The 24695-nt window shown below is 42.9% G+C and overlaps 1 protein-coding gene across 12 annotated transcripts in view, besides 3 other annotated features; it reads right to left on the bottom strand.

The window, feature by feature from the left end:
• Positions 1 to 24695, bottom strand: part of ATP8B1 (ATPase phospholipid transporting 8B1) — a 156890-nt gene that overhangs the window by 40929 nt on the left and 91266 nt on the right. For 8 of the 12 annotated variants that reach the window (NM_005603.6, NM_001374385.1, XM_047437543.1 and 5 more), the window contains exons 3-13: positions 19136 to 19233; positions 17201 to 17314; positions 13861 to 13959; positions 13685 to 13746; positions 10441 to 10513; positions 10264 to 10334; positions 8096 to 8178; positions 7817 to 7975; positions 7228 to 7316; positions 4453 to 4643; positions 945 to 1153 (exon numbers count right to left, since the gene is read on the bottom strand). In NM_005603.6, the coding sequence (NP_005594.2) occupies positions 945 to 1153; positions 4453 to 4643; positions 7228 to 7316; positions 7817 to 7975; positions 8096 to 8178; positions 10264 to 10334; positions 10441 to 10513; positions 13685 to 13746; positions 13861 to 13959; positions 17201 to 17314; positions 19136 to 19233 (1248 nt within the window). The remainder of the gene's footprint in view (positions 1 to 944; positions 1154 to 4452; positions 4644 to 7227; positions 7317 to 7816; positions 7976 to 8095; positions 8179 to 10263; positions 10335 to 10440; positions 10514 to 13684; positions 13747 to 13860; positions 13960 to 17200; positions 17315 to 19135; positions 19234 to 24695) is intronic. The other 4 variants (XM_047437547.1, XM_011526023.4, XM_047437548.1 and 1 more) reach the window with 2 other exon arrangements.
• Positions 6333 to 7532: an enhancer, noted in NCBI's record as "CDK7 strongly-dependent group 2 enhancer chr18:55360919-55362118 (GRCh37/hg19 assembly coordinates)". NCBI's record gives its function as "activates an origin of replication core promoter dependent on BRD2, BRD4, P300/CBP, MED14 and CDK7 cofactors, with strong dependence on CDK7, by STARR-seq in HCT116 cells {active_cell/tissue: HCT116}" and the evidence as "EXISTENCE:reporter gene assay evidence [ECO:0000049][PMID:35650434]".
• Positions 11490 to 11690: a silencer, noted in NCBI's record as "peak3164 fragment used in MPRA reporter construct". NCBI's record gives its function as "represses an SCP1 promoter by STARR-seq MPRAs in K562 erythroleukemia cells {active_cell/tissue: K562}" and the evidence as "EXISTENCE:reporter gene assay evidence [ECO:0000049][PMID:32103011]".
• Positions 11667 to 12350: an enhancer, noted in NCBI's record as "H3K27ac hESC enhancer chr18:55366253-55366936 (GRCh37/hg19 assembly coordinates)". NCBI's record gives its function as "activates a minimal SCP1, AML or CMV promoter by ChIP-STARR-seq in primed H9 embryonic stem cells {active_cell/tissue: H9 hESC(primed)}" and the evidence as "EXISTENCE:reporter gene assay evidence [ECO:0000049][PMID:30033119]".

Genomic DNA, 24695 nt, shown 5'->3' on the forward strand with positions numbered 1-24695 from the left:
GGCTTACTTCACTTAGCATAATGTCCTTAACCCATTTATGCCTAGTGTTCCATTATTGGAACGCTAAGCATGTGGGAGTTATTTATATCCTACTGCTCAAGGTCATCACCAAGTTCTGATTGCAAAAATTCAAAAAATTGCAACCTCTGGCATAAACGAGTTCAGGTTCATCTGTGTTGTAGCATGTGTCAAATTTTCCTTCCTTTCTTAGACTGAATAATATTTCATTGTGCGTATCCACATTTTATTTATCCATTCATCCATTGATGAACGCTTGGGTTGCTTCTATCTTTTGGCTATTGTGAATAATGCTGCTATGAACATAGGTGTACAAATATCTCTTTGAGCCCCTGTTTCAGTTCTTTTGAGTATATAACCTGAAGTGGAATTGCTAGATCATATAGTAATGAGACTTCTAATTTTTTTTTTTTTTTTTTTTTTTTTTAGACAGAGTCTTGCTCTCTCACCAGGCTGGAGTGCAGTGGTGTGATCTCAGCTCACTGCAACCTCTGCCTCCCGGGTTCAAGCAATTCTCCTGCCTCAGTCTCCCGAGTAGCTGGGATTATAGCTGTGCGCCACCACCACACCTGGTTAATTTTTGTATTATTAGTAGAGACGGGGTTTTGCCATGTTGGCAAGGCTGGTCTCAAATCCCTGACCTCTTGGGATCTGCCCACTTCACCCTCCCAAAGTGCTGGGATTACAGGCCTGAGCCACCACGCCTGGCTGTGAGCCCACTTCTGGCCACTGTCCTCTCCCACGCATGTGTCCCCAGTGCTGTCCATGGTGCTCCTCTGGTGCTTAGCTGGAGAATGGCCCTAGCAGCAGGACTCTGCATCGAGAGGGCACCAGCAATGCCAGGAGACAGGCTATAGTCCAAGTAATGACCTGCACACGGCAGGCAGCCCCACTCACCCAGAAAATGAGTGACGGCTTCCACTTACCATATATCTGCCCGTTGATACAGCACTTTTTAAAGGTCATGATATTTTGTGTGAGTGTCCCCGTCTTATCAGAGAAGATATAATGGATCTGCCCGAGCTGTTCATTGAGTGTGGTGGTTCTAGCTTTTGCGGGTGTGTCCTTCTCAGCATAGTACATTTGCAGGTCCCAGTTGATGAAGTGACTCTGTCCAAGACGAATCACTTCCACGCTAGGAAGACAGAAGATTATTTTCCGTAGAGAGCTCGGATACGAGTGGCAAGTAGTAGAGATTTTATTCTCATTGTACAGACGAGAGCAAGCTGCTTATTTACTGCTATGGTCTGAATGTTAGAATCCCCCTCCAAATTCATATGTTGAAACCCAATCCCCAATTCAACAGTATTGAGGTGGGGCCTTTAGAAGGTCATTAGGTCATGAGGGCTCCACCCTTATGAATGGGATTAGTGCCCTTATTAAAGTGGCTCAAAGGAGCTTGCTTGCCCCTTCTGCCATGCGAGGACATAGCTAGAAGGCACCGGCTGTGCCTATAAAGCAGAAAGTGAGCCTTTGCCAGACCCTGAATCTGCCGATGCTTTGATTTGAGACTTCCCAGCCTCCAGAACTCTGAGCAATAAATTTCGAAGGTCTTTTGTTATATCAGCCCAAACTAAGCCCTCTACAAGGAGACAAGCCCATGCACTCAGCCTCTGGTTTCTCCTAACCACATGCATCATTCTCAGGCTTCAGGGTCAAGCTGATTTTAGACAAGTAATTTCCACTCAAAATTGCTCAGTGAGATTTCCCACTCACTCCTGGGCACATTTAGCCAAGGCACCCATGTTCAGAATACACAGCCCAGCAGAATGGAAGACACAGCAACACTGCAGACAGAGCAGTGGACACAGCAAGCTTGACTCTTCCCCCATTCCCCATAGCACCCAGGGGCACTGGAATGGCCATGTTCACCTTTGCCCTAAGTGGTAGGGCAGAGGGAGTGAGAGTACCCTAGGGTACAGACTCCACTGTGCTCTCAAACAGGGCAAAAGGCTTTTGGCAAATACCCCAAATCATGATCCCTAAATTATGATAAGGTTATAGAATATCCAAAATAAGATATTATAAAAGGATCATCTGAATTTTAAAACTATAAGGGACATTACCTATCTCAGTTATAAGGAAGCTGTTTACATAGCCAGCAATTGTTAGGTGGGCCAAGGAAGTCCTTAACAAGTTAAACAGATGGAAAAATGATGCTCTCCCCACTTCTCTCCCTTCCGTAAGTATTTCCTAAGTGCCTACTATGTACCAGATACCATTCTAGGTGCAGGGGACATGTCTGTAAACAAAACAAAGTCCTTTCTCTTAAGGAGGTTACTTTCTAGTAGAGACAGACAAATAAATTAATAAAGAGAGGCTCTATCAGAGGTGAAAGTTCTCTGCAGAAAATCAAAGCAGGGGGCCAGGTGTGGTGGCTCACGCCTGTAATTCCAACACTTTGGGAGGCCGAGGTGGGCGGATCATGAGGTCAGGAGTTCAAGACCAGCCTGACCAACATGGTGAAACCCCGTCTCTACTAAAAATACAAAAATTAGCCAGGCATAGTGGCATGTACTTGTAATTCCAGCCACTAAGGAGGCTGAGGCAGGGGACTCACTTGAACCCAGCAGGTGGAGGTTGCAGTGAGCTGAGATCGCGCGACTGCACTCCAGCCTGGGAAACAGAGCAAGACTCTGTCTCAAAACAAAACAAACAAACAACAAACAAACAAACAAAAATCAAAGCAAAGCAAGGTAAGGAGATATGAAGATCTCCAGGAAGGAGAAGTGGTCAGAAACAGAATGAGTCAGGAAAGGTCAGGGTAATAAGGTGTTGTCTGAGTAAAGGCCTTTGTAGTGAAAGGGGAGCAGATAGATACCTATGTAAGGAATGCCCCTGGCAGAGAAAAGAGCAGGGACAAAGGCCCTGTGCAGGAAGAATATCAAGGGGCCAGAGTGGCAGAAGCCCAGGGAGGTGGGCTGAGGTGCAGAAGGTACGGGCGGAGTGGAAGGCTGAGCACCAGATCACACTTGGGGCCCTGGGGTTGGGTTTATTCTGAATGAGGTTTGAAGTCAAAGCAGAGATACTATCTGGAAGAACTTGCTCCAGCATGTTTTCAAAGGACCTTTATCTCCAAGAAAAAAGAAATCGTATTTGTCACATGACATACCTTTATATAAAATTATGTATACAGTTTCTTTTATAATACACATTGATGGTTTTAGGCAAAATTATCTATGTAATAGTTCCCTTGACAAAGGTAACACTCAACTCGGTTTTTCTCAAAGTAGCTGTGGAACAGATGGCTGCCCCAGGGCTTTCCTTCATGTTAAAAGAACAACAGTAACTACATGTAATCAAATTAAAAATAAAGCAAATGCACATATAATGACACTAAAATAAAATAAATGCCTCTAATTATAGGTGTGTATGTGATTCCTATGTCTCTGGGCTATTCTTTATCAGAACTAAGAATGAACTCTGGCTGCTGGGTTTATTCCAAAGCACTATCCCTCCCAAAAAGGTCTCAAAGTCAGTTTGGCCAAGGGCAGTGAACTTTCATATTAAAAAGAGAAAAAGGCCGGGTGTGGTGGCTCATGCCTGTAATCCCAGCACTTTGGGAGGTGAGGTGGGCAGATCACCTGAGGTCAGGAGTTGAAGACCAGCCTGGCCAACTTGGTGAAACCTGTCTCTACTAAAAATACAAAAAAGTAGCCAGACATGGTGATGGGCACCCGTGATCCCAGCTACTCAGGAGGCTGAGGCAGGAGAACTGCTTGGATCCAGGAGGCAGAGGTTGCAGTGAGCCTAGATCATGCCATTGCATTCCTGCCTGGGCAACAAGAGTGAAACTCCATCTCAAAAAAAAAAAAAAAAAAAGTAAAAGTAAAAAATGAAGAAGTATCACCAAATCAGCTGCTTACCACTTATCGGAGATATGCCCCTGACTTTGTTGTTGTGGTTGAGATTTGAGATGAAAAAGAGAACATTTTGAGAGGTTGATGAAGGACAGGGAGTTTCTTTCCTACTAGGAGGTAGTGGCCGGAAAGCACAAGTTCTCCACCTTGGGTGTGGCAGATGATAATAAAGGCTCAGATAAGAGGTGAGGACCACTTCCAAAAGGGAAAACTAAGTTTTTCCATCACCTGCTAAATCTTCCCCTCCTCCCAGTCCCTTTCTGAAGTCTGGGCTTTGGAACCCGGTGAGAAGGGAACCTTACTAATAAGACAATGACTACAGGAGTAGCAATCGATCTTTGAAATTCCCTACCCTTATCTGCAAACAGGATGAGATAAAAGGTGCCTGGCACAGAGTGGATACTCAAATGTTAATTTCCTTTTCCTCTCTTACCCTCAATTCTGAAATGAACGTGATTTTCTTACCTGTTCTTTGTGACCTTTGAAACAGTGATCACTAGAAATGAAGGCACTATGTTGGGAGAAGGTACAACATTCTTCCATTAAAGCAAAATGCCAGAGAGGACAGCCTTACCTGACATAGAGAGAGATGGGTACCATGGTGTTGAGAACAATGATATAGCCCCAGAAAATGAGGAATCCACGGTAGGAGGGTGTATCGTCTTCTCCATCATAGAGGTACCAAGAGGAATTGCCCACCTGTGCTTCCCAATAAGCATGGCCGATGGCAAGACCAGCAGAAAGCAGAATAAGAACAACAAAGATCTAGAAGACAGAAAACATTTAAATGCATTCTGAAGATGGATTTCCAACCTCTTGCATTTCCTAGATGCTAATTAACCTTACTCAATACTTCATATGATTGAGAATTTAGTAGTCTGAAAAATAATATATGTCAAATAAAAACAGCACTATCATAACGCTTTGAAAGTCTATTTGATTGCTGCAATTGACTGATGTATCCTACATCTCCCATAGAAGGTAAGGTTTTGTTCCCAAAATTATCTCTCCAAAGAGAAGGTGGTGTCTTATATTCAAATCCTTGAAGAATCTTATATTACAGGGCATTCTCTCAATTACGTTTACTTTGAACAATAACATACTGTTTGGGGAAGATATCTTACTTAGCATGAAACAACTTCCAACAAGGCTGAACTGGAAAACTGGAATGCTTATAGAAGATATTCAACAGATTTTTTTTTTTTTTTTTTTTTTTTTTTTTAGACAGCGTCTCACTGTATCACCCAGGCTGGAGTGCAGTGGTGCCATTGTGGCTCACTACAACCTCCACCTCCCTGGTTCAAACAATTCTTATGCTTCAGCCTCCTGAGTAGCTGGGATTACAGGCACGCGCCACCAAGGCCGGCTAATTTTTGTCTTTTTAGTAGAGACGAGTTTCACCATGTTGGCCAGGCTGGTCTCGAACTCTTGTCCTCAAGTGATCTGCATGCCTCAGTCTCCCAAACTGCTGGGATTACAGGTGGCCCTCACCCAGCCAGAATTTTTTTTTCAGGGCAAGAAAATTTCACCTATATTTGGGCGATTATTCCTTAAGGTGTAATGTCATAAGTATTGCATGACATTGTAAAATAAGATCACTTAAGAAGCAATATGATAAGTATTATGTTGTAGAAGTTATGAGCATATATTTATGGAAGGAATAAAAAGTCAACCATCCTAGTGGTACTTGGAGATTCGCAAGTGGGAATAAAATTTCCAGAGACAAATTTAAATTTCTGGACATGGAGTCCAAAAGTGCTATATCTCACAACTTTGTCGTGGAAAGAGCAGAGTGCCAAACAGGCTCTTTGAGAGTGGATAACCACAACCATGACACCAAAGATGAATGTGAAAAGTTCAAATACAATTTTCATGAAATGAGAAAGCAGGGGAAAATGTTTCTTAAATTATTATTTTTATGTGATTTTAAACATGTATATGCAATCAAAGAATAAGTTTTAGAAGTATGCATTCAAATTGAATTAAATACTTGAAAAAATTTTTCATTGGGAAATAGAAGGAGTGCTTAATATTTGGGGTCACCACGTGGGCAGAAAAGAGCAAACATAGCAGGTCTGAGACTGCTTCCTCCGAAGGCCGGCTTGCAAGGTTCGCCCTGGGCTGGTATCTGGTAACTTAGATGTTTGGAGGATTTCCCAGTTATTTTTTATTCTCTGATAAGAATAGCTCATGGGCCGGGTGCAGTGGCTCATGCTTGTAATCCAAGCACTTTGGGAGGCCGAGGCAGGCAGATCACTTGAGGTCAGGGGTTCGAGACCAGCCTGGCCAACATGGTGAAACCCCGTCTCTACTAAAAATACAAAAATTAGCCAGGTGTGGTGGCAGGTGCCTGTAATCCCAGCTACTTGGGAGGCTGAGGCAGGAGAATCACTTGAACCTGGGAGACGGAGATTGCAGTGAGCCAAGATCATGCCATTGTACTCCAGCCTGGGCAACAAGAGTGAAACTCAATCTCAAAAAAAAACAAATAATAATAATAATAAAAAAACTCATGATGCCTAACTGTGCAAACAGCATGGTTTATGCTGACCATCTGCATTCTTTTGGGGAGTCTAGAGTTTTTTTGTTAAAAACCTTTGACACTGAGTCTCTCATGAGCTTCCCTGGTATAGACAACATTTCACATGTGGTGTCATTAATTGCTGCTGGGAGAATTAAGTGCCTATTGTGTGTGTGGTTTGGTGGGGAGTGGGGGCAGGACGGCCGACTTTTGGAAGCTTGTGCCTGGTTTCCTTTGCACTTTGCTCCATGAGTCTTTGGTGATCTTGCTCTGTGTCCTTTTGTTGTAATGACTCACAGCTGTGAATACGACTATGTGCTGAGGCCTATGAGTCCTTCCAGTGAATCATCAAACCTGGGAGTGGTCTTGAGTGTCCTCGACATACTTTATTTTTAGCCTTGCCTTGTATTTGGAGCTATACAGTATATGTTGGGGGTGCTGGGGGAGGCTTGCTTCTAAGAGAACTGCCTCTATGGGAAAGTAACAGCAATGAAATCAACCCTACATTGACTTCAGGAGTCCAGCTTCACTAATTTATCTAGGGCTTCCTGGTTTTCCAGTTCCCGTCATCAAAGCACTCAGGGCACCCTACAACCGAAATTTCCCTTCCCAAGGGAATTCTCCTGTTAAAAGTGTGGCATTTCTGAGAAAAAGTAAGGCATTTCTGGAAAAAAAAATCCCTTCTTCCTGCATTTGAAGCTTGGAGTGCCCAATAATTTTTCTATTCCACCTAAAGAGGTAAGATTTTGTATTAGAAAAACATACGATAATATTAGTGCAAAAGACAGCAATCTAGATGAGAGATCTACTGAGATGAAAAATAAATACCGTGTAAACCATGTAGTTCATCAAGTAATCAATTTTAGTTCTTTTAAATCTGGTTTTCCCACTATTCTTCATTATTTTAGTGTCAGCACCTGAAAATGGAAAATTCAATGTAGTCATCAGTTGGGAAAAATCAATTCACTAGCTCACCAATAAAATTACTCTTCTTGGCCAGGCATGGTGGCTTACGCCTGTAATCCCAGCAGTTTTGGAGGCTGAGTTGGGCGGATCACCTGAGGTCAGGGGTTCGAGGCCAGCCTGGCCAACATGGCAAAACCCTGTCTCTACTAAAAATACAAAAATTATCTGGGCATGGTGGCACATGCCTATAATCCCAACTACTCTGGAGCCTGAGACAGGAGAATCACTTGAACCCAGGAGACAGAGGTTGCAGTGAGCTGAGATTATGCCACTGCACTCCAGCCTGGGCTACAGAGTGAGACTCTGTCTCAAAAAAAAAAAAAAAAAAAAAAAAAAGCTCATGATGCTATTACTCTTCTTTTGGTTTTGATGGACAAAGGACAGAAAAGCAATCCCCTCTAAGTCTTTAAAGATCATAGCTGATTAATTTCCCAAGAAACTCTGAACGTACCTGCAAAAATGACTAAGCCGTGGCAGAAATCGGTGTTCCTAATTACACAGCCACGTAACAAAATTTTATCAGCATCCAAAGGAAAACTTGTGTTTCTCCAAAATAGTGTTCCTGTAAACTTATCTAGTCTGTTATTGGGTTCTTCACATTCAATAAAACCTTTTAAAAATATAAGATTCACATAATTAATCACATACAAAAGTCTTTCTGGTTTTAATCAATAGGAATTGAACCAAGCAACTAAAATTTAAAGCAAAGTAAGACATGTTTGGTACAAACCATCAAATGTAGCCAATGTATCTTCTCTTTGGAGGTACTGGTCTGTGATTTCAAGTGACATCTTAAATTTTAAATTGGTTTCTCTAAAGGAATGGGGAAAAAATGAATTAAATGAACAAATTTTTGAGTTCAAAGTGGAAGTTAATCATCCAAAGTTACATTAGCCATACCTGGACATGAAGCCTAAATAATTAGCTGTTTCTATTTTCAAACTCTGTTCACCTTGGAACTTCAGGTTTGGAAAAGGTTATCCCCTGAAGTCGAGAAAATTTCTGACCTTGGGAAATGTTGGTTCCCTTCACTGTTTGTTGTTGTGAAGGTTAGGACAGAGGTACCCACAAACATCCTTCTCATTAACTTTAACTTTACCATCAGCTAGGACTACCAAAGTGCTGTTTGAAAATGTAGTGTCTAATATTTAATCACATTAAAATGATTCTATAACACATATTTGTTACAGAAATTCTGTTTCGCCTCTGTCAAATTCTTTTCCAGAGTGAATAACTGGATCACATGTTTTTGAAAGACAATTTTATTTGGAAAAGGAAGTCTTAGCTTTACTCCCAACTGCCCCACCATAGTGCAAGGTAAGGTCGTGGGTGGGCACAAGGGCAGGCCGGGGCAGGTGCTCTCAAGGGTGAGGCTGCCGTCTCACGACTGAAGGCTTTATATAGGATTCACGAATACTCAGGAATTTTCCCTAGGGAAGTTCATTCTCAACCTCACCATTCTGTTCTGGCAGGGCATGTTAGGATCTTATGTCTTTGTAAAGCTTTAGAATCTCTCATGGAAATAATAGCAGTTTTATAGTTGAGAATAAACAGTCGGGCGCCGCGGCTCACGCATGTAATGGCAGCACTTTGGGAGGCAGAGGCAGGCAGATCACTTGAGGTCAGGAGTTTGAGACCAACCTGACAACAGAAAGCTCTATCAGGCAACTGCCCATAATCCAATTTGGGTATAGCCTCGGGGCCTTAAAGAGAATGCAGTGTCTTTGTCAGTTAAGCCTTTACAATTAAGAAGTGGTTAATTGGTTTTTAACCAATTAGCCTGTACAATTAAGAAGTGGTTAATTGGCTTTAAGTATTTTTTTCCGCCAAAAAAAAAAAAAAAGTGTGATAGATTTCCAACAGTCAATTGCCTGATCTATGAAGCAATGACAGCCCTAGTTTTCAGTCTCATGATTTCCGCTCTCTGTAAAGCAGTGTATGCACATCTGGAGCGTGAGGCGCGAGGAGCAGAGGGAGCAATGTCCCGACTCTACCACTTACTGTGTGACCTTGGGCGGGCTGCTGCACCTCCCTGGGCCTCCGATTCCTCATGGGTAATACAGACGAATAATATTCGTCTCACATGGTCGTTTAGAGGATTAAATGAGCTAATATGTAAAGTGCCGGCAACCTCGTGAGCACTCAATAAATGCCTTGAAAACTGGTCAGAAAACTGGTCAAAAACAGAACTTCATTCTCTTTTAAATGATAGCATAGTAACCAAAACCAACACAAGGAGAATTCAAAATTGCCTCCTGGGGCCAGCTGCTGTGGCTCACCCCTGTAATCCCAGCAATTTGGCAGGCCAAGGTGGGCAGATCACTTGAGATCAGGAGTTCGAGACCAGCCTGGCTAACATGGTGAAACCCCATCTCTACTAAAAATGCAAAAATTAGCTGGGTGTGGGGGCTGGAGCCTGTAATCTCAGTTACTCAAGAGGCTGAGGCAGGAGAATTGTTTGAACCCAGGGGGTGTGGAGGTTGCAGTGAGCTGAGATAGCACCACTACACTCCAGCCTGGGCGACAGAGTGAGACTCTGTCTCAAAAATAAATAAATAAATTGCCTATTGGTAAAGACTTTAAAAATCTGTTCCTTTCTCTGACACAGATAATAACCTCGATATTATTCATATCTGTCTGGACGCTGCTCAGCAGTTGATAAAGGGCTCAGACACATATGCTCCTGTCTGATCCTTTTACCTTCCCTGAGAGGTGGAGAAACGCAGGTAGTAAGAGCTCCACTTCACAGAGGCGCAAAGGTGAGATCAGTAGGGACAGCAGCAGGTGGCAGAGGCAAGGCCAGATATCAAGCCGTCTGGTCCACAATGCCCCGATTTCAGTGGAATGAATGTGCCTTCAAAGGCCAGCTTTAAATCAGGCCCATCGAGACACACTTACCCATCCAGTTCTGCTGTTTCCACATAGCAGAGGCTGTTAGGCTCAGAGCTAGACAGCAGGAGAATGTCAGCCTGTCCAAAACAAAACACACAAATAACACCGAGACCCTGAGGGAAAAGCCGAGCACAGGGGCTGGGGGAGAACAAGGAACAAGAGAAGCAGAATTTGTTCACTTACTGGAACAAAATCATTTTTTTTCAGACGAATGACGTCTCCAACTTGAATTTCTTTCCACTTAGCAACTTTGAACCTAAGGATTAAAAATAATGAGGATTTATTGACATTTTAAGTTACAGGCAAGGGAATTACTATTCTTTCTGGATGTTATAGATTCTGGAAAATATGCAAGTCACAGAGAAAATGCTAAAATTTTGCTCTTTAATGGATGTAAACATATTAAAGGGGGGCATGAAAATTGTATTGACCTCTGAAGGAAGCAATGATGAATGACTTTGATACATTCTTTTCATCTAGGTCATGTAAGGAAGAGTTTATGGGGGCCACTTATGTGCGTGGCAGGGAAATACTTGCCACCCCCTTTTGTTTTTGCTTATGTCCAACTTGCCTCCCTGCTGTGTTCCTTCTCAGTGACCCATCACTTGCTCCATGCTGGTCCCAGGACAGAAGCACCTACATTATGGCACCCACCTGGGCCTCCCAGAGTCTTCGTGGGGCTTCAGAGCTTGCCTACTCTCTGCTGTTTAAATTATCTTTATTATTTATTTATTAATTTTTTTTTTCATTGAGACAGAGTCTTGCTCTGTTGCCCAGGCTGGAGTGCAGTGGCACGATCTCAGCTCACTGCAACTTCTGCCTCCTGGGGTTCAAGAGATCCTCCTGCCTCAGCCTCCCGAGTAGCTGGGACTACAGGCACGTGCCTTCACGCCTGACTAATTTTTTAGAGATGAGTTTTTACCATATTGGCCAGGCTGGTCTCGAACTCCTGACCTCAGGTGATCCACCCACCTCGGCCTCCCAAAGTGCTGGGATTATAGGCATGAGCCACCTCACCTGGCCGGTTAACTTCTTAATTGTAAAGGCTTAACTGACAAAGACACTGTATTCCCTTTAAGGCCCTGAGGCTACACTCAAATTGGATTATGGTCAGTTGTCTGATGGAGCTTTGTGTTGTCACCACAACTTGTGTTTACACAGCCCCTTCAGCCTCCCTAGGGCATCATTTTCAGGGCTTTGCTCACGTCTTGACATCTTTCCCCACATTCCCTCGCTAAAGTGAATTTTCCCTTCCCTGTACTGTCAGAGCATTTTGTTTTTATCTTTTTTATTCTGATATGGATTTTATTAGAATGATGTGTGTAGGTGTCTCATCTTCTGTCTTGAACTATAAATTTCTCAAGGATACTGTCCTGCCTCCAACATGCAGAAAGTACTCCATAAGTGTTTGTTAAATTAACGTAGTCAACTGTGACGAAAGCACCAACTCAGGGATCAGTAATGAGTTGTTTTTTGAGCAGGAGGCTTCAGGCAGAACTGCAAATTCAAGTGCTAAAAATAGTAACTAAGGCCTCATTCCAAGACTTTTTATGTGTCAACACTGAGGAAAGTAACCTGACTTACAGCCGTACTTCCACTCTAATGCAAATATAGACTATACCAAGCTATAAATATGTTTAGATGGCTTTTTTTCCTTTGCAAATAAGAAAATTATGTTCCAAAGTTACCTTTCAAGTGTCAAAAGACAAAATCACAACAATTTAAAGATCTTAATTGGCTTTATTTACAATTCTAGGATTAGGAAACACTTCATTCAGTAAAATAGAATAAGTGTCCCAATGAGCCTAGCAGAGGAGGTTGTTGTTGTTAAGACAGGAGTCTCGGCCGGGCCCGGTGGCTCACGCCTGTAATCCCAGCACTTTGGGAGGCCGAGGTGAGTGGATCATGAGGTCAGGAGATTAAGACCACGGTGAAACCCCATCTCTACTAAAAATACAAAAAATTAGCCAGGTGCAGTGGCGGGCGCCTGTAGTCCCAGCTACTCGGGAAGCTGAGGCAGGATGCTGTGAACCCGGGAGGCGGAGCTTGCAGTGAGCGGAGATCGCGCCACTGCACTCCAGCCTGGGCGACAGAGCGAGACTCCGTCTCAAAAAAATAAAAAAAAAGACAGGAGTCTCACTAAGTTTTCCAGGCTGGCCTCGAACTCCTGGCCTCAAGTGATCCTCCTGCCTCGGCCTCCCAAAGTGCTGAGATTACAGGCGTGAGCCACCGTGCCTGGCCAACCCATATGTTTAGCCTGTACCATACCTACCTACACTGGTAAAGAGGAGCTCTGGGTTGCCTTGAATTTGGAAGTCTAGGGTGCATGTCTGGCAGGGCCATGGCCTGAGCAGCCCCTGCAGTGGGGTCACACCTATAGGAACTTGAGCATTAGCAGGGTAGAGCACAGGGGGCCTCCTCAGAGGAAACTGGAACATCGGATAGAAGAATCTAACAGAATTGCCTCCAATATTTCAGTATTCAGAATTGCCTTCCAGTAGCCCTGCTAAGAAGGTGCTGGCCTATCCATTTGTCATTTCGGACTTACATGCAAATTTCTATTTTAAAATTTCAGAAATACTGAAATGTAAAACATCTACAATTTCGTCAATTGAAAGATAAGCCAAATTTTTTTTTTAATGCTGGAGTTAAGAATTGTATACTAAATTCATTAGGGGAACTGGGGCATAAACATATATTTAAAAAGTATTTTAAATCTCCAAGTCATTTTTGGCCATAAATGAATGGCAGATAAACACATAGTGATTAGACGACTGCCTCCAGTGAAATTAAGTTTATTATTTATAGCAGGTTCATTACGTCCACTGGGTATATCATTTGTATATGTGAAAATCTTTAAAACAATATTATAGTTTAAAACTTTTAAAAGTGTTGATATGTTAAAAATTTTAATGAATATTTCCTATGGAATTTAGTACTCAAAATAGTCATCTTTTTATCTATTTTTATCACTATCCTTATTAGATTTATTACAACAGGGGTACATACTCATTAAAAAGATAATTTAAGGCCAGGCATGGTGGCTTACACCTGTAATCCCAACACTTTGGGAGATCAAGGAGGATAACTTGAGGTCAGGAGTTTGAGACCAGCCTGGCCAACATGGTGAAACCCCATCTCTACTAAAAGTACAAAATTAGCTGAGCATGGTGGTGCACGCCTGTAATCCCATCTACTCGGAGGCTGAGGCAGGAAAATTGCTTGAACCTGGGAGGTGGAAGTTGCAGTGAGCCGAGATAACGCTACTGCACTCCAGCCTGGGCGACAGAGCGAGACTCTATCTCGAAAAAAATAAACAGTTAATGTACTAATAGCCTTCTACATTGTAATAATTATCTCTGAATGTGTTTCTAGGCAGAGTTATGCATTACATCCTTGAAACTCAGTTACTAATTAGACACAGTACCTGCCATCCTTAATGACTTCACACGTCCTATTGTTGATTTCCTTATCCATTTTATGGCGAGCCTTGAGAAGGAAGATGGGGAAATGCTGTTTTAAACATCTCAATAGAGAAGGAAGGCACGAGAACTTAAAGTCAACTCAAAGCAATGAGTAGAACGTTGTATGAGAAATCCTCACCACATCGTCCACCAGGTCTTTGATTGCAGTGACGCCCAGCACCACAAGCAGGGGCACTAGTGTGGTGTACCAAGCCAGGGTAGAGATTTGAGGAACTGCCTAAAAGAATAAAAGGGCTTATGTGTGTGTCCATGAAGGCATATCAAGCTTACAGGTAACTTATTGCTAATTCTAAGCTTGCTAATTCCAAGTCTCATCACCGTCATCACATAAGTCTACATCCTGCAGAGTATATAGGAAAGGCTCTTCAAGCATTTGGACAACCTCCTTCTAGTGGTTCTCTCTAGCTTCTGGATACCTGGAACAGAGCCTAGAGGGCAGTGGCTCCTGAAATTATCTCATTGCAAACTTAACTGGACACCAAGGAAGTTTTGTATTATGATACCTAAAAAAGAGTTGCTCTAAATCTTTTGTGAAAATCATATTTAACTGGGGGTGAGGGGGTAGGAGTGGCAAGGGAGAAGTCTCGTCTTAACTTTTTTTTTCTTTTTTTTTTTTTGAGACAGAGTCTCCCTCTGTCACCCAGGCTGGAGTGCAGTGGCACAATTTTGGCTCAATGCAACCTCCGCCTCCCAGGCTCAAGCGATTCTCCTGCTTCAGCCTCCTGAGTAGCTGGGATTACAGGTGTGTGCCACCACCCCCGGCTAATTTTTTTGTATTTTTAGTAGAGATGGGTTTTCACCATGTTGGCCAGGCTGGTCTCGAACTCCTGACCTCAGGCAATCCTCCTGCCTCAGCCTCCCAAAGTGCCGGGATTACAGGTGTGAGCCACCGTGCCTGGCCAAAGTCATCTTAACTTTTAAGGAATGCATGCATAGTAGGTTCTATACTGCAGGTTTCTCAGTCAGTGGTTTCTGAGGATCCCATGCTGAAGGCAATGATGGCAAGAGGTACTAGCTGCCTCTGAAAGTGAGGGATTAGGGAGAGCATCTCTGAGGGCATTAGAAGAAAGTGCTTCCTTCATGATCATCACTATTGGCCTATCCAAGAAAGTGAGCTGGCCTTCCTCCATCAAGACAGCCTCTAAGTTTGAACAAAGATTGGGATGCAAGTTTAATAAAGTTATTTCATAACCATCCTCCTGATCACTGGGCTGTATAATGTAGTGGTTAAAATGACAGGCTTTGGAGTCAACTCCTAGATCCAAGTCTTGGTCAGCTCTATCATTTATGGCTTATGGGACTTTGAGCAAGTTACTTTAGCTTACTAGGCCTCAGCTTTTCTCTGCAAAATGGAGGTCATGCCAGGCCTGACCTTCTAGACTAGAAGAATTAAGTGTAGTGACAACACAAGTTAAGAAGCTGCCTACGGCTATTACTGTTACCCTAATTTGGATTGCTGACCTTAAGAGAAGATAACTGCGCCAGGCACGGTAGCTCATGCTTGTAATCCCAACACTTTGGGAGGCCGAGGTGGGCGGATCACCTGAGGTTGGAAGTTCGAGACCAGCCTGACCAACATAGAGAAACGCCGTCTCTACTAAAAATACAAAATTAGCCAGGTGTGGTGGCGCATGCCTGTAATCCCAGCTACTCAGGAGGCTGAGGCAGGAGAATAGCTTGAACCTGGGAGGCAGAGGTTTTGGTGAGCTGAGATCACGCCATTGCACTCCAGCCTTGATAACAGGAGCGAAACTCCATCTCAAAAAAAAAAAAAAAAGAGAGAGAGAAGATAACTGGGGTGCAGTTAGAAGACAAAAAGATCCTTCTTCCCACATCACAGTGAATATGTGAAACTCCTCTTCCCTGCTAGAAGGAAGTAAGGGAAAATGGTCTACTTCCTACAGAGCAGCACCTTGGAGTTTGCAGTGCTAACCTCTACACACACCTTTCTAAGCATCTCCTTTGATAACAGGGCCATCCTTTACTATCTGACTTGAAGGTCTTACAGTTTCCTAAATCATTGCCTATCCATTTCTCCTTACCATCGTCTCTTCTTTTTCTCTCCTCTCCACGCATCCTCCATCCCCACCTAGACACACATTCTACCCCATTTTCATAAAACCTTAAAGGGTCAATCCCAGCAGGTATAACTTTTCCAAATCCAATGCTTGCCGTAAAGAATCTGATAAAGTGCCGGGCGCAGTGGCTCATGCTTGTAATCCCAGCACTTGGGGAGGCTGAGGCGGGTGGATCACCTGAATTCAGGAGTTTGAGACCAGCCTGGTCAACATGGTGAAACCCTGTCTCTACTAAAAATACAAAAATTAGCTGGGCGTGGTGGCTGGCAACTGTGATCCCAGCTACTCAGGGGGCTGAGGCAGGAGAATCGCTTGAACCCAAGAGAAGGAGGAGGAGGTTGCAGTGAGCCAAGATGGTGCCACTGCACTCCAGCCTGGACGACAAGAGCGAAACACGGTCTCAAAAAAAAAAAAAAAAAGAATCTGAAAAAACCAGGTGGATATTCTGAGCTTAAGCTATGTAATCCGCACGGCAGACACTAAAGGTTGATTCTGGCGCTAACTAGTGTGTGTAGAGTTCCCTCGGTTACAGCAACAGTTCTTGCACAGCTAAACTCATGCTCTCTGGATAACTGGATGCTTTGCCACAATTAGGAAAAAAAATTTTTAAGTAGGCCTTTTAAAATGTAAAAACAGTTCACAAAAATAACTTACTGAAATTTATGACCAAAATTTTAATAAAAAATCAATGATCTTTTTGGGGGGGAAATTCAGCATCTAACTACAATGATAAAAGACAAGCACAAAATAGCTTTAATTTTAAGGTGCAAATAATTTTACAAAGTAAGGATTTTATTTTATTTTTTTTTAAGATGGAGTTTAGCTCTTGTTGTCCAAGCTGGAGTGCAATGGTGTGATCTCGGCTCACTGCAACCTCCGCCTCCTGGGTTCAAGCGATTCTCTTGCCTCAGTCTCCCGAGTAGCTGGGATTATAGGCATGCACCATCACGCCTGGCTAATTTTTTGTATTTTTAGTAGAAACGGGGTTTAACCATGTTAGCCAGGGTGGTCTGGAACTCCTCACCCGAGGTGATCCACCCGCCTCGGCCTCCCAAAGTGCTGGGATTATAGGCGTGGGCCACTGAGCCTGGCTGGATTTTAGTTTTATTCACTTCAGGGATACCAATTTTAACACCCATATCAGTATAACATGAAATTTTTTAAAATACAGAATTAGAATAATATTTCCATTTGCTCCCTTTCCCTGTTCATATAACACTGATTGAGCTGGTTCTGTGTATGAGGCACTGTTCCTTTATGTACAGAACCCTGATGCTAATATAAAACACTTTCAAGATTATTCACATTATATGTGTCTACAGCTTAAATGTTATCGAGTCACTATAATTCAAACAGATTTAAGATAGCAAAGGGCATTACCTGTAAGATAAGAAGAGCCAGGAAATATAAATTGGCTGCTCTCTTAAACTGCTCAAACAGATTCATTGGTATAAAGGTAAATGCGTTGTACTTGTATGTTTTAATTGCATTATTCTGTTGGAAAAAATAAGAGTCATTCTAAATGATGCTGTATTTATCACAATGTATACACATCTGCAAAAGTCACAAGTCCCACAGCTTACAGTGACAAAGGAACATCATCTGTCAGAAAGATATTGAGGATTTTGTCTGGGTGCGGTGGCTTATGCCTGCAATCCCAGCGCTTTGGGAGACCGAGGTGGGTGGATCACCTGAGCCTAGGAGTTTGAGACCAGCCTAGCCAACATGGTGAAACCCCACCTCTACTAAAAATACAAAAATTAGCCAGGCGTGGTGGCCTGCACCTGTAATCCCAGATACTTGGGAGGCTGAGGCAGGAGAATCGCTTGAACCAGGGAGGCAGAAGTTGCAGATCGCCCCACTGCACTCCAGCCTGAGTGACAGAGTGAGACTCTGCCTTAAAAAAGAAAAGAAGAAAGAAAGATACTGATATTTCTTTTAAGCTTTTAATTCTAGCCAAGCAGCCAAGCCTCAAAATGACTACTTGGAGTCTTATGACAGAGGCAGTAACAAGAAACAGACATCAGACTGTGACCAAATAAATCCTGCTGTCAGATTCCTTGACCCATTAGAGACTGTTAGAAAACAGGGTAAAGGTAGACAACAACATGGCCAAAGCCAGGAAAAGTGAGGCTTTTATTTAAGTGAGGAGACAGAGCCTACTATGTAAGAAAGAGCAAAAGGTACTGTAGTGGGTTGCATTGTGTCCTGCAAAAGATATGTTCAGGTCTTAACACTAATATCTATGAATGGGATCTTATTTGGAAATAGGATCTTCGCAGAGATAATCAAGATGAAGTCATACGTGATTAGGACAGGCTCTAATTTAATGAGGTGCTTATTCGGACTGGGGTCCCTATAAGAGGAAAGTTGCACACAGACACACACAGGAAGAGTGCCCCTTGAAGATGGAAGCAGAGATTGGGGTGACTTCATCTGTAAGCCAAGGAACTCCAAGGATTGCCAGTGGCCACCAGAAGCCAGGGGAGAGGCAGGGAACAGATTCTCCTGCAGAGGCTCCAGAAGGAGCCAACCCTGCCAACACCAAGATTTCAGACTTCTGATCCCTGCATCAGGAGAGAGTAAACTTCTGTTGTTTTAAGCCATCCAGTTGTGGTACTCTGCTATGGAAGCCCTTGGCATTAAAACACACATCTTACAACATTTAAGCCCACACTTAATATTTATTATTATTATTATTATTGAGACAGAGTCTCACTCCTGTCACCCAAGCTGGAGTGCAATGGCACAATTTCAGCTCACTGAAACCTCTGCCTCCTGGGCTCAAGCGATTCTCTTGGCTCAGCCTCCCAAGTAGCTGAGACTGTGGGCACATGCCACCACTCCAGGCTAATTTTTGTATTTCGCATTTAATCTTTAAGCATTCTTTATCACATTCCAAAGGTAATAAGCATTTTTGAGTCAAAAATATGTTTAAAATCTCTAAATCCATTCCAGGCAGAGAAGGGGAAGATAAGTTCTTAAGAGATTCCTTTCAAACTCATTACTTTCAAACAGGAGGCTTCTGTGCCATCATTGTATATTCTTTCATAAAACATTTCTAAGAGAGCTTAAAATTTAAAAAAGAGAGAGAAAATTTCAATCTACATAATTCTGTTTTGTTTCAAGTCACCCGCTACCCACCCCAAAGGTAAACATCAATAAAAATGACATTCTATAGAAACAATGATGATTATCAGTAGCCCCAGGCAGGTGGTTACGTGGAAGGCAGGTGTAGCATGAAGGTAGTAAGCATGCCAGCTACTGGAAAAAACTGCATTTTAATGAAAACAATTCAGAAAGTTAACAACTCACCGCATATTTACTCTCCTTAATACACAAGAATTTTGTGTTCATAAAGTGAGGTTGTTCGTGGTACTTGCGATCGTTTGCTTTGACTTGCCATGTACATTCTTTAAAAAAAAGGGAGAAAAGTTCGTAAGTAGCAAATTAACATGTTGTTATGAGTTGAATTGTGTCTTCCCCAGATTCAAATGTTGAAGTCCTAAACCTCCATCCCTCAGAATGTGACCTTATTTGGAAACTGCTCATTGCAGATGTAATCAAATTAAAGTGAAGTCATTAGAGAGGACCCTAATTCAACATGACTGATACCTTTACAAAAAGGGAAATTTGGACACAGAGATAGATGGAAGACGATGCGAAGTCACAGGGAGAAAATGGCCATCTGCAAGCCAAGGAGAGAAGCCTAGAACAGATCTCTCCCTTGTAGCTCTCAGAAGGAATCGATCCTGCTGACATCTTGATGCCTCGAGGAAGGCATAAGCATGCTGCTGCTATGAAAGCTGGAGGCAAGCATGCTATAAATCAGGAAGAAAATGAGGAAGCAGGCCGGGCGCGGTGGCTCACGCCTGTAATCCCAGCACTTTGGGAGGCCAAGGCGGGTGAATCACGAGGTCAGGAGTTCAAGACCAGCCTGGCCAAGGTGGTGAAACCCCGTCTCTACTAAAAATAGCCAGGTGCAGTGGCGGGCACCTGTAATCCCAGCTTCTCAGGAGGCTGAGGCAGGAAAATTGTTTGAACCCGGGAGGTGGAGGTTGCAGTGAGCTGAGATTGCGCCACTGCACTCTAGCCTGGGCGACAGAGCAAGACTCCATCTCAAAAAAACAAACAGAAAAGAAAAGAAAAGAGAATGAGGAAGCACCTCTTTGGCACCAAGTTCTCCATGAACATGCATGCTGGATGAAGCTCCCTTGAGTGACGCACATAATGGAGAGAACTAGGTGTTGATGAATCCCCACCAAATTGGCAGAGAAGAGAAATTAACAATGAGTGTGGCACAACTATTTTTGGAGATGGGAATATATTAAAAGACACTTGAAAGTAAAAAATTACAAAAATATCAGTCTTAACAACTATAATAATAAAGATTGTGTGATCTCGGCTCACTGCAACCTCTGCCTCCCGGGTTCAAGTGATTCTTCTGCCTCAGCCTCCTGAGTAGCTGGGATTACAGGTGCCTGCCACCACACCCGGCTAATTTTTGTATTTTTAGTAGAGACGGGGTTTCACCATATTGGCCAGTCTGGTCTTGAACTTCTGACCTGGTGATCCACCAGCCTTGGCCTCCCAAAGTCCTGGGATTACAGGCGTGAGCCACTGTGCCTGGCAAAATGATGTATTTTCTAGACTCCTACTCCAAAGGAAATATAGACAATATGGCAAGAGTAACAAGTGTAGGCCGAGCATGGTGGCTCATGCCTGTAATCCTAGCACTTTGGGAGGCCGAGGTGGATGGATCACTTGAGGTCAGGAGTTCAAAACCAGCCTGGCCAACATGGTGAAACCCCGTCTCTACTAAAAACACAAAAAAGTAATGGGGCATGGTGGTGCATGCCTGTAATCCCAGCTACTCAGGAGGCTGAGGCAGGAGAATCTCTTGAACCTGGGAGGCAGAGGTTGCAGTGAGCCGAGATAGTGCCACTGCACTCCAGCCTGGGCGACAGACGGAAACTCTGTCTCAAAAAAAAAAAAAAAAAAAAAAAGTAACAAGTGTAGACTATTGAGGAATGCAAATAATTAACCTGATTGCTTTTTTAAAGCCACAATATCACTATTGAACATTTTTCTCGCATCATTTTGGCTGCCTTTCATCGGGTAATCATAACAGTTGTGTTATTACAAATGAAAATGTTCCTGGTATCTTTGTAGCTCAAGTGCAATCTTATCAAAAGGGAAAATAAAAATGGAAATATAAAGCCACTCATAAGCACTGTAATCACATAGGCAATCAGAACAGCTCATTCCACTCAAAAAGGCGTTCTCAAAGTAGGTAGATAAGACCTTACATAAGGTACTCTTGAATCCATTCTATTTGGTGGTAATTTGCAAATGCATGTGCTTTTAATGGTTTACTTTAGCACACAGATGACTTGTGACACATCCCCACCACCAGGGTTCTAGAACACTGTTCAGAACCACTGTTACGCATTTCAGGAAGGCTGAGAAGAAAAACAGACAAGATTTCTCAAGAAGACAGAAAAGGCCAATAAGGGATTTTTAAAAAGTCAATTTTAGAAATAACTCAAGTGGAAAGAAGAAACTGCCCTGTTAAGGAGCTGGACATAATGATCTTTCCCAGTCCACTTCTGGTCCATCCCCCTTGTGGCTCTATAAATTTGCTTCATAATTAAGCCACCAGCTGGTGGTGGCTCTGTCTGGTCCCAGCACTATACCCTCATCCCTGGCCAATTTTGATTTGGATGATTCAGACAGAGAGGGTGGCATCAGACCTCGAGTAGGTGCAGTGAGGGGTTACCAGAAATGACCTTGATCTCTTAATTTTACACTTCTGCCAATACTGTGGGGAGCCTGGAGAAAGTAACCAGTATGTCTTTGTCTGCAATTGAACCGCAAACACGTTTTTACTCAATTTTAGAAATCTGACTGCAGTCAAGTAATCAATAACCCTATTTCCAGTTAAAGATCCTTGTTTGGCCTAATTCAGACAAATCAGGGGACAAACAAATTGATGTCTACTCTTTATTCATCTATGAGTTTAGGCTAATTGCTTGAGCTGTATTTCAATGAGATACCATGAAAATATGAAAACAGAGCTCCATGGACAGACACACTTGCAGAAGACAGCACCTTGCAACCCTCTCTTGGAAGTTCGGTGGATTTGCTTGTACATTAAAGGCTGTGAGAAGTCCTGTAGTAAATAAACTGATTTTATTTTATAAGTTAAATGTTTAAAATGCTTTAATATTTAAAATAGCTTTTCCAAAATTAATATAATCATAGGCACTTTTTAAAAAATCACAGAACACTTATTAACATCAGTTAAGAAGTGCTGCACTGATACACATGCCTTTAGGAAGGGCAGCAAAACAGCACGTGGAGGAATTGACCTTTTTGAGCAAATATTTATTTTAAGTGTCTGCTTGGAACAGAGAACTTTACTGGACACTTGAACTACAAAGATAATTTACAGAAAGAGTAAGCATCTTGCCCCATTTTCTTTTTTTGTCCTTTTTTCTTTCTTTTTTCATTTTTTTTTTGTTTGAGACAGTCTTGTTCTGTCATCCAGGGTGGAGTGCAGTGGTGCGATCTCAGCTCACTGCAGCCTCTGCCTCCCAGGTTCAAGCAGTTCTCCTATCTCAGCCTCCCGAGTAGCTGGGACTACAGGTGCACACCACCACGCCCGGCTAATTTTTGTATTTTTAGTAGAGACAGGGTTTCACCATATTGATCAGGCTGTTCTCAAACTCCTAACCTCAGGTGGTCCACCTGCCTCGACCTCCCAAAGTGCTGGGATTACAGGCTTGAGTCACCATGCCTGGCCACTTTTTCTTTTCTTTTCTTTTTTTTTTTTTTTAAGAGACGGAGTCTCACTATGTTGCCCAGTGCCTAGGCTGGCCTCAAATTCCTGGGCTCAAGTGATCCTCCTGCCTCAGCCTTCAGAGTAGCTGGGATTACAGGCATGCACCACACTGTGCCTGGCTCATCTCATTTTCTAGAATGGATATATTGACAAAGAAAAGAGAAGAAATAAGAAATGCAAAAAATGCACCTTCACCATATGGCCCTTTAGCTAAAAGCTACAAAGCTAACAAGGGTGTGCCATCAGAACTATCCATGTACATGTACAGAGATGATTTTAACAGCTGCCATGTGACATGTGGCTTAAAGTCACCCTGAGTCTACTAAATGGTTGTGTTGTCAATATATCTAAATATGGCTACGTGCTCTCCAGAGTGTTCCCATGATCACCACGTCCTTTGATCAGTGCCATCTGGAAGAGCAGATGAGTGCAGCCCTCCTCTCATCCTCTCTGTGCTGGCTCCGAACGCTTGCTTACAGACCCACCAACAACCAAGAAGCTGCACTGGTTGGTACACACTGCAGCAAACAAGGAAAACAAGTAGATAAAAAGTCCAACATCAAAAAGAAAAAAAAACCATAGAAACAATTGAAGAGAGAATGGCTAAAGGACATGAAAAGACAGTTCATACAAAGGGAAATTCAATGCTGTTCTCGCTGAGGCTGGAGTCCAATGATGCGATCTCAGCTCACTGCAACTTCCGTCTCCTGGGTTCAAGAGATTCTCCTGCCTCACTCTCCTGAGTAGCTGGGGTTACAGGCGCCCACCATCATGCCCGGCTAATTTTTGTATTTTTAGTAGAGACCGGGTTTCATCATGTTGGCCAGACTGGTCTTGAACTCCTGACCTCAGGTGATCTGCCCACCTCGGCCTCCCAAAGTGCCGGGATAATGGGCATGAGCCACTGTACCTGGCCTCAAATGGCTCTTAAACCTGTGAGAAGATATTTGGGTTCCTAAAAGAGAAATGCAATTCTTCACTGAGATAGTAGTTTTTATCCTATAATAGCAAAACATTGGCACATGGTAATGCTTGGGATGACATTCTAGGTTCAAAAGAGAGCAGAGAAACAGACACTCTGAGGTAGCCTTTATGGAGAGTAATTTGGCCAGATCTCAAAATTTAACACACACATGCACTGACCAAATAATCACACTTCTAGGAAATATCCCCCATGTACCTACTGCAGGGATTTTCAATGCAGCCCTATTTATCAGAACGACTAGAAACAACCCAAATGCCTACTGGGAACAGCCAGTTAAACACGATTACAATGATAGCCTATGCAGTCAGCAAAAAAAGAATGAGGTGACCCCATAAATATGGTAGGAATTACCTCCAAATTACACTGTTAAGAGACAAAAGCAGAAGGGTATCTACCATCTTGTGCTTTCAGCTGTGTGATGCATAGAATTCATACACAATATGAATGCATATATGTACACACACGTGCACATCTGTTTCTGCATATGTGTATGGGTATATGAGGAAGCAAGTTTGCAAGCATTCTTTGCGCATACAAACGTGTATCTCTCTGGAAGGACATATTTTGAGAAACTGGTAACCGTAATTTCTTTTTGTCATTTTTTTAAAAGACAAAGTCTCACTGTGGCACCTGGGCTGGAGTGCAGTGGCATGCTCATAGCTCACTGCAGCCTCTGAACTCCTGGGCTCAAGTGATCCTCCCACCTCAACTTCTGGAGTAGCTGAGACTAAAGTGCACGCCATCGTACCTAATTTTTAAATTTTTTTGTAAAGATGAGGTCTTGCTTTGCAGACCAGGCTGGTCTTGAACTGCTGCCCACAAGCTATCCTCCTGCCTTGGCCTCCCAGAGTGCCGGGATTACAGGTGTGAGCCACCGTGCCCAGACCAGCAGTATTTTTTTTGGAAAGGAAACTGCATGACTGAGGGACAGGAGAGGCAGGAAGGAAAACTTCATTTTCATTCTGGACCCTTTTCTAATTGGATCATTTACATGTATTACTGTTTTAAAGCAATGTTTGTGATTCCTCTCCTTCCCTCTATTGGCA

This window comes from Homo sapiens, chromosome 18 (genome assembly GCF_000001405.40).
Source record: "Homo sapiens chromosome 18, GRCh38.p14 Primary Assembly".
Lineage (NCBI taxonomy): Eukaryota > Metazoa > Chordata > Mammalia > Primates > Hominidae > Homo > Homo sapiens.